Raw genomic sequence first — 10,990 nt, forward strand, 5'->3', positions numbered from 1 at the left:
TAAACTTGTAGTTGGAAAGATGAATAAAATATCCAACAATGCATTCCTTTATTGCTTCCATTTTAAATAGAAATATTTATAAGGGCATGGATATGAAGTTTTGATGTAAAAGCTTTGTTGGAACCTTAAGGTCATGTGCAATGAAGACAAGCTACGCACTGTAGCTTATAAATTAAACAGTACACATTTTTGCTTCTGTGGGGCCCTGGCTTCTACAGCAGGAAGTGAAGAATCAAGTGACTTCTTGTAGTCTTCTATATGTTGACTTTTGCTGTACACTTTGGTGAAAACATTTCTGTTCTCCAAACTAGATCTCAAAGGAATGGTGTTGAAATGCAGTCTACAAGTAGCATATATTTATTTCTGTAGCAGTCAAAGGATGGTTTCTCTTAAAAACACGTTCTTGACCCTCACTTCCTTTTTTTTTTGTTTTTAAATGGGGTCTCACCCTTTCACCCAGGCCGGAGTGCAATGGCATGATCAAGCAGATTCAAGTGGTTCTCCTGCCTCAGCCTCCCGAGTAGTTGGGACTACAGGCACGTGCCACCACACCCAGCTAAATTTTTGTATCCTAGTAGAGACTCGGTTTCTCCATGTTGGCCAGGCTGGTCTCGAACTCCTGACCTCGTGATCCACTCACCTCGGCCTCCCAAAGTGCTGGGATTACAGATGTGAGTCACCGCGCCCATCCACTTCCTTATAAATTGAAAAATTTCTATAAATGCTTGACATAATGAAGGCATTTACTCCAACAGGCACTTTTTAAATTTCTTTTTATATTGAGGGTAATTTTTGTTCCAAGTTTTGCCTTTTCTGAAATGAGATAAAAATGTGATGCAAATTCCTGAAAGTTAAGCAGTTCACAGCTCCATTTATAACTAAATTTACACAGATTTAAAAGTAAATTAAATTAGTATGTATTATTTGCCCGAATGAACCATATGTCTATACTCAATAAACCAAGAAAGATAGTTTTATGATAAAAAAAGTTATGTTTTATATGTAATATCCTCCTAAATTTAAATTTAAATTTTAGGCAATTTAAAGGGTAGTGAAAAGCATATATTTGAAACTCTCAGAAAACTGAAACAATTATAATAAATCATATTCTTATGCGACAAGTAAAATAAATGAAGTATAAAGCACAAAGTACTGTGGAAATTTCACAATAGTGCATCTCACCTATGCAGACTCCACTGTACTGCCCAGATGATGAAGAGAGAAAAGGAGATAGAATGTTTTTAGTATGGGAGACTCAGCTTATCTTTTCACTAGTCACCAGGGATGAACTTGGGAAGAGACATGTTACTTGATTCCTCTCGGAGTGTATATAGCTCACTGTATTAAAGGTAATTTAGTGCTAGAAAATACTTACCTACTTTTCATCCAACTTGGCCCCTAAACACACGCTAACCACTAGATACGATGCGCAATGGAGAAACAGTGACCCACTCCAAATCTAATCGGAAAACAAATGCATGTGTTGGATGTTTGTAATTTGGGGCTAGTACTTTATTCTCTAGAGCAGTGCTTCTGTATGGGATCTATATGAGTTTTCTTGGCTGCCAAAATAAAGTACCACAAACTGGGTGTCTTTAAACAACAGAAATATATTCTCTCACAGTTCTGGAGAGTAGAAGTCTGAAATCAAGGTGTCAGCAGGGCCATGCTCTCTATAGGGAATCTGTCCCCATGCCTTTCTCTTAGCTTCTGGTGTTGCTGGCAATCTTGGGCATTTCATGACATTCACCACTCCAATCTCTGCCTCCACTGTCATGTGGTTTGCTCCCCGTGCCAAGCTGTCTCTCTCCACTTATAAGGACACTAGCCATATTGGATTAGAACCCACCCTAATGATTTCATCTTAACTTAATTACATCTACAAAGACCTTAATTACCAAATACGCTTCCATTCACAGGTTCTTGGAATTAGGAATTCAACATATTTTGGGGTAGAGGGACAAAATTCCACCCACACCAGGGTCTTAGAGTTAATTTTTACTATGGTAGATTTTTATTTTTAACCGTCTATATTGATTTTGGACTTCAATTCCTGTTTAGAATGTGACTCTACAGGACGTAAAAGTAAAGGTACCAGAAATATTTCACAAAAAAAGTTGTTTTATCTTCTGTTAAATTTCTCTTCCAGTAAGAAACATTAATTATTGTGGTCTATGAGTAGATAATAAATTTTCCTAAATATCAACTTGTAGTCAGAATTCTGAAGAAGGTACTAGATAGTAATTACTTCACTTGTGATATGTCCTTAGTTTTTCACCTCATCTGGTGATATTTGTTCTGCCTTCATCTGAGCTGACAGTACAAGAGGCAAATATTTAAGGCTAGTTCAACCACAATTAACTTTAATCCAAGTATATAACTATGCAAAATGAAAAACTGATCCAAACTAATATTAAATATCCTGAAAAGAAATAGCTTTCCTGAATTCAATCAGTTACCACACTTTGTTTTTAGGCAGCTTTAAATTTAGTAAATCTTAAAAAGATAGGGCAAAATCTCACAGACTTATGTGAAAATAAGCTATAAGCAGAAACATTATTCTTCTTTTTCAAAAGACTAAATGAACACTTATGTTCTCCGTAACAGAAGTATTGGTTATAACTTGGGTCAAACAACCCAGGTATAAATTCTAGTTCTGTTACTTACTAAGACAGATTTTACTTCTGTAAAATTGGCATAATAGTGATACAAATATCATAATGTATTAAATGAAATAACGGAAGGAGAAAACTTAGCACAGTTCCTGGTACAAAGTAAGTGTTCAAAATGTTTGCAATAATATTTATCTAAAAATAACTCCAGTGAATATTTATTTAATATGTAAATTTTTCCAGGTGGCTTCAGGCTAGATGCTGAGGTAATTAATAAAAATAATTAGAATATTTTTTTCTGAGTTCAAAGATCTGTTAATTTAGTGGGAAAGCTTATAATTTTAAAAACCATCACAATCAATATGTTGCAAATATGGTAAAAAAAATAAAGTAAGTAAGCAGAGTCTAGAAATATCTTATTTTCTAGGAGCTTTGCAAAGAGCAAGTTATTGGAAATTAAAATCTGAATGTTGTTCTTAATTGCTTCTGAAGTGCCATGAAGAGAACATCTTGAACGTGTTCTCCAGTAAAATTACATTGGCGTATATGCTATTTCCAATTTATTTACATAAAACCAGGCACACTGTACTTTATGAGATATAAAATAATTTCCCAGAGTGGTTTTGGCTACACGTGATCTTTGCCTAATGCCCTGACATTAAAATCAACCTCACTGTATAGTGTAATACTCCTATAAATTAGCCCAATCTTACTGAGGGATAATTTTACATTTTTGCAATTCATACCAGAAAAATACCTTGACATGCAATTCCACTTTCATAAATTTAGACTCAGTAAAAAATTAAGGATATGTACCAGTATTTAGCTATAAGCATGATTATTTCAGGCTTATATTCAATAGTAAATATTGGAAAGACCAACATCAACGTTCAAATACAGAGGATTTACGGAATATGTGTTTTTATTTCAATATAATCAATAGAAATACAGTCTTTTAATAATATTGCAAAATTATATGTAAAAAAATTGAAGTATAATTATGATATTTTCAGTAATGGGAGCAGATTGCAAAATAGCAAACACAGATTCTATTAATATTTATGAAAAAAGTATAAACTATATATACACAGGAAAAAGTCTGTCAGAAGATATGCTAAGAGTGATTTCAATTTTCTTTATTTTGCTTGTACACGTTTTCTAATTTTTCTATACATACTTAACAAGCACAGTTTTAAAATCTTATTACAAGTGAATTGTGTAAGAATCTGTAGCCACGATCTGAAACTATGGATTCATTTAGTAGAACAATTAGGTTTTGCTGATTTTTAAAAACCTTATGGTAAAATAGAGCACATATTTTATTGTGAAAACTTTAACCCTCTTATTGTAAAATAAAACATGGATAAAGAAAAGTCACACAGAAGACATATGCACCTTAAATAGTTCTTATGAGGCAAACACCCTTGCAACCACCAACTTTGTTAGTCACTTCAGAAGCCTCTTGTACCCTGTTCCAATCACAATCCTTGTCTTCTCCTAATAAGTAACCATTATCTTGATTTACAGCACTTTCTTGTATTTCTTCCTCGTGTTTTATCATCCAAATATGCATTTCTAGACAATCTTGTTTAGTCTTGCCCATTTAGATGTTTAGTTTAAACGTTGTTGATGCCGTGAGAATATTTGACATGTTTCTCAGTGCCCCGTATATCCTGAGATTTGGCTGCTGGATTGAAAGTCCTCATTAGGCTCAGGTTTAATACTACTCTCAAGACTGTGGGGTGACGTGTTTTCCCACTGGGGGCTCATAATGCCTAGTTGTCCCACTTACTGTATAATTAGCAGCTGCTGATGCTCTATGATTCATTTATTCACTGACAGTTGCAAAATGGTGATATTCCAGCTCTATAATTCCTTTCTCATGTATTAATTGGACTAATTGCATGTATTGTATGGATTTTTATAAAAAGATGCTTCCCTCATCTATTATTCAGTAACCCAGTGGTAAAATTCACATAGGAAAAATAAGATAAATGCGTGATTCTTCAGTTTTTAGTTTGCTGACTTTTCTAAAGGGGACCAATTCATTTTCTGTCTTTTAAATTATTATTTACAATAGATTTAACCATATTTGGTGGGATTCAATACATTGCAATTCCTTGTTCTGAAGCTCATATTGCCTCATTTAGAGTCTCATGTACTCCACTGTCTTTAACAGTTAGATCTTTAGCAGTTGTAAGAAGGTTCAGGCTCATCTTGCACATTTTCTGCTTTGTAAATGGATTTAGCCATTTCCTTAAGAAGGAGGTAACATTGTGAAATAACTTGGAAAAGAAGCATTTTAAGACCACAAGATATTTGGATGCTAGAGATTCTCATGATATTGTGTTGGTTGTTGCTTCTAGGCCTTTTGAGTGGCCAGGCTAGAAAACATAACGGTTAATTCATACATATTAAAACATACACATATACAGTTATCATACATATATACGTATATATGATAAATTCAAGTTCATACTGATAAGTCAAATTTAGAACTATGGAGTTTTTTTTCTTAATCTCTTCTATATTACTTCTATATCTCCTTTCTTCCACACTAAGAAACCTACTTTTTAAGGACACAGGGGATGGCTGAATCAGACTATCCCGTAATTATTCATTTACTTTATCTCTCATTACACACACACTCATCTGAGAATAACTGTACTAATATTATCCCTGTCAACATAACATTTCTTTAAATATGCATTCTCCATTCTTTCCCCATTGTAATAGTTTTACCATACCCACATTACCTGAACATATAGCCATTTCATATTATATTCTTTGCCTCTTAGCCCTCAGCTAGTCTTCCTTCTGCAAGTAGCCTTATCACCACCCAGCCTTATGTCAGTCAAGCTTGTATGGAATTCAGTCTCTGTAAGATTTGTAAGAAAGATTCACAGAAAAAATATTCGGTGGGTTCTTACATGTTGATATACATTTGGGTCCATATTTTGAAAGTCAATTTTGCTGGATACAAAACCATTTATGCATATTTTAATTTGGGGGGATTACTTTAGTTTGTAACTGTTTTATTCTAACATAAAATGTCACTGTTGAAGTGCTTAATGATGACCTAATTCTTCCTTACTTTGTAAATCACTAAATGTTTTTGCCAGAGGAAAGAATCTTTCTTTCTTTCTAAAGCACATTTAGTAATTTTAGTAAAATATCTTTTTATTAGTTTCAGGTATGTGATTTGCTTTTTCAATATGGAGTTTCTTTATTTTAATTTCAAAAATGCTTTCATGATTTTAGTTTTTATTCTGTTCTCTTGCAGACTCCTGTTTCCATACGTTAGATTTTTATCTATTGTTAACATTTGCCCTTTCTTTCCAGTCTTTCATACCTTTTGCTTTATTTCTTTTTGATTAAAAAAAATCTTTCATCTTGTACTTCTCTTAAGGCACCATATTCTTTGTATTCCTTCTTGTGTTCCCTCTAATTTAGTCTTTATTCAAAAATTGTTTTTTTTCTTTCTGTTCCAATTTTTTTCTTATAGTTCTATCATCTTTCTGAGTTTTTCTAATTTTGAGTTTTGTTATTCTTTAATGTGTTGAATCATTTCATAAATGTCTTTCAACTCATTCTGAAATGGAATGTTGTAGACCTCCAATCGGTGGACATGTCTTTCTGGTGTTTTGTAATCGTTAGTAGGGATTTTATTTTGCTCTTCATTCTCTCCCTCTTTTCTGTGGTAACACTGTTCAGATTTGATTTTGATATTTTTCTGTTGCTCATTTTTATGTGAAGTCAGTTTCCTAAAATTTTAGAAGAAAGCATGGTTTAAGGTAGCTTCTCTCACTTCATAGACATCTTCTGTTGTTTTTGTGAAATGTTCAAAATTATGATGGCTTGCTTACATTTCTGGTTCTTTTCCTCATCCTGTCCCTATCCCCTGCCCAGTCACTTTCATCAGCATATTATTATTATTTTTTTTTTCAGAGTTTCACTCTGTCACCCAGACTGGAGTGCAGTGGCACAATCTTGGATCACTGCAACCTCCACCTTCCAGGTTCAAGATTCTCGTGCCTCAGCCTCTGTAGCTGGAACTACAGGCATGCGCCACTGTGTCTGGCTAATTTTTGTACTTTTAGTAGAGATGGGGTTTCACCCTGTTGGCAAGGCTGGTCTCCAACTCCTGACCTCAGGTGATCCGCGTGCCTTGGCCTCCCAAAGTGCTGGGATTATAAGCTTGAGCCACTGCTCCTGTCCTATCAACACATTCTCTTCCTCTCCTCTAATTGGCCCCTTTCCTGCTCCACTTTAATTTTACACCATCAGTTTCTTCCCGGTGTAAATCCTGGTTCTGGAAGAGAGCCAAGCTGGCCAGTTTCAAGGATTTGTAAGATCTAGACTTCTTCTTTTTGCAGACTTACCTCAGGCCCTTAGCACTGATTGGTTCCTGGATTGGGCAACACCTCTCCTGTTTTAACAGCTGTTATCAAATTGGACCAATGCGATTTCCAATAAGCACCTGCAGGATATTTTAAGATTATTCTGTTCTCACCGGCATCCCTTGCTCTGTTGCTTCCACACAGATATTAATACCATGCAAGTCTCCTGGCTGTTGGTGATTCACCTCACCTGCTTAAATACTGTGGTTTGTGGAGAAACCTTGTGGCCTTGTTTTCTGGTAAATACTGTCTACAGGTTTTATTCTTTTTTTGTTCTTGTTTCTTGCAATATCATTGCTCTATTCTTATGTGGGATTAGGAGAGAGTCACAAATGTGCCATTGCTTCTGCCCCACCTTCCTTAATTTTTAAACTGCACAGAAGTCACATATATATAGATAGCCTTGATAATTGGTTCCTTTCCTCATTATTAACTGGTCAGTCATTATTAACCGGTTAATCATGTACTATGTTCTTCAATATGGACTATGGAATTAAAGTAAGGATTTGCCTTTCCTTTTGCATTTTAATGAAATATGGAATCACAGATTGAAACAGGTTGTATGTTTTCCGCTATGATATAACATATTATGTTTGAAGAAGGCAATAGTCAAAGGACACTAGTATTTTTCCTATATTATATTGTAGCACTTGGGATGAATTTGGGTTTTAGTGTTTTATCTGCATATCTTAATTAAACAAATTGTGATGGTTAATTTTATGTGTCAGCTTGGCTTGGCCATGGTACCCAAATATTTAGTCAAACACTGTTCTAGATGTTTCTGTGTAGGTATTTTTTTGGACGATCTTAACATATTAATCAGTAGATCTTGACACCTTGAGTAAAGAAGATTGCCATCTATAACACGTCATCCTGTCAGTTGAAGGCCAAAGGAAAAAGGCTGACCTCCTCCAAGTGAGAGGGATTTCTTCCAGAAGAGTGCCTTTGAACTTGAACTGTAAGTCTTCTGTGGATCTTCAGCCTGCAGGCCTGTCATGCAGATTTTGGACCTGCCAGCCTCAAAAATTATGTGGATCAATTTCTTAAAATCTCTCTCTCTCCTCTTTGTCTCTCTGTATATCTATAAATATGTAGATATATCTATATCTATATATGTGTGTATATATCACTATATCTATATTATCCATATATAATGTAGTATATCTATATAATATATAGTATATAGATATCTATACTATATGTATATCTATACTATATATGTATAGTATAACTAGATCTAGTATCTATGTATATATACTGTCTATATTGTGATAGATGTAGGTATCTATGTTATATCTATATAAATTAGTCTGTCTATACTATAGATGTACTACACAAAGGAAAGTTTACTAGAAAAGTAGTATGTGCACACCAATGTAAAAATTCTATAATCTTTGACTACATATGAATAATTTGTATATGAGTCAGGATTGTTTAGAGACAGATCCAGTAGGGTGTGTGTATGTGTATAGATAGATACATCTATACTGTATCTATATCTTATCTATAGACATAAATCTATATCTATAGATATCTATATTTACACTATATATATCATATCTAAGATATAGAATATCTATACTATATAGATATTTATATCCTGTCTATACTCTAGCTATATCATATCTATCATATCTATAGATAGATATGATATAGCTAGAGTATAGATAGATATATCTATCATATCTATCATATCTATAGATAGATACGATATAGCTAGAGTATAGATAGATATATCTATCATTTCTATCATATCTATAGATAGATATGATATAGCTAGAGTATAGATAGATATATCTATCATATCTATCATATCTATAGATAGATACGATATAGCTAGAGTATAGATATGATATAGTACAGATGTATCTATGTATACACACACACACACACACACACACACACACACACACACACACACACTCTATTGGTTCTGCCTCTGGACACCCTAGTAGGAATCCATACCAGATAAGAAGAGCACTAGGACAGTTCGGCTTTAGGCTTCGAGAAAAATAATTCTTTTTTTATTTTCCTTTTTAAACTTTATTTTATTTTGGTAAAAACACTTAATCTGAGATCTACCCTCTTAACAATTTTTAAGTGTATAATGCATTATTGTCAACTATAGGTACCCTGTTGCACAGCAGCTCTCCAGATCCTATTCATCTTCTTTAACTGAAACTTTATAGCTACTGATTAGCAACTCCTCATTTCCGCCTCCGCCAGCCCCTAGCAACCACCATTCCACTGTAGAAGCCTGTGAATTTTATTATTGTGGATACTTCATGTAAGTGGAACCATACAGTATTTGTCCTTCTGTAACTGGCTTATTTCACTCAGGCAGATAAAATGTAAGCTGTGAGGGACCTGTAACAAGGTTGAGACATAAGGAAGAAGTGAGGAAGCAAAATTCCCAGCTTGCCTCCAGCCTAGACTCTAAATAAAAGTAACAAAAGGAGTCTACATAGGTCGCTTGTGACATTGCCATGCTTTCCAGGGCAGGAGACCAGAAAAGGATTTGGAGCTAAAACCCCTTATAGCAAAATATAGGATATATTTACGAATCTATGTCTATATCTATAAATTTATATATGTATAATATATACTATGCATACACATATATGTTTATGTATATACACACATATTTGTATATATTATACATATACGTGTGTGTGTGTGTGTGTGTGTGTAACCAAACATAGATAGGGAATTAACCAAGGATACATGATACTGGGATTCTGGCTATTTTCTCCTAGAAGGCGGAATGACAGTCATAAGTCCTGTCCGGAAAGACAGTCATAAGTTAACATGACTGTCATGTTAACAATTAACATGGTTCATTGTTATTAATGATTAAAATGAAAAAGTTTGCCCAGAGGCAGTCCCTGTGCTATTCTATCTATATGAATTTATTTTCTTAATCGTTGCAGGAATTGTACTGAAGGAAGCATTATTGTCAACATTTCATAAACGAAGCAACTGAGTTTCAGAGAAGTTACATAACCAGTCCAAGGTTATGTGTGATTATCTTTGAAGAATCATCTTGACATTTCTCCAAACTACATCATTAGCTTCAACTTCTTTCTGTCTTTATTCTTTTTTAAGGGCAAGGGCAAGTGCCAGGACAGATCTTTTAAAACACTCAAGTTTCTAATCATGCTGCTCTGACTCCCTTTGGTCCACTTAGCTTGATTTCCTGTACATATTTCTCTAATACACTTCTGATGTGTTTTGTAATGTTTCTTGACACTCACCCTGATTAAGCAACTGGCCCGAAATTGCACGAGGATTAATGATAGAACTATAAATTAAAATTTTTCATTCTCCTATTCTTTTAGTTTATTGAGCTATATTGCTTTCCCAAAGATGCATTATAGATTACAACATCTTTTCAAATAAAGGAAACTCATTTGTGTTTCCAGTCCTACAAATCTAGGTGAGAAATGCATGGCCACCATAGGCAAAACAAAGTTTTAAGGTTAATATTTTCATGCTTACAGTACTCTCAAGAAATTTTATCTGTTCTCTTGTGCTCATTGTCCAAGTAATCAGAAGGATATTAATGTTAAAGAGTGAAATGAAATATATTATTATACACTAGTTCTGTATTGCCCAGGGACTGTCACTCCTTACTTTAAAAGTTCATTTGAATATTTGCTGAATAGAAATTGTAGCTAAAATAAAAAGAATCCCTCAGGCAAAATTAAGCATGAGGTATTTTACATGCATAGAAAGAAAAGGGTTAATTAAACCATCACATTTAGAGCCACTTTTCTAGGACATTTCCTTTTACAGGAGCTATTTGGGTAAATGTATGCAAATTGTACATGGATTTGGTGAGCAGTAAAAGGATATTGTAAAACTTCATTAATTATAAATTCTAGAGAAGAGACAAAATGGACTTTGAATGAACTGAGTCCATTTGCTCCATTATGTACATTTATCTGTATAGATGTGGAATTTACAGAATTCAAACTC

This window comes from Homo sapiens, chromosome 2 (genome assembly GCF_000001405.40).
Source record: "Homo sapiens chromosome 2, GRCh38.p14 Primary Assembly".
Classification (NCBI taxonomy): Eukaryota; Metazoa; Chordata; class Mammalia; order Primates; family Hominidae; genus Homo; species Homo sapiens.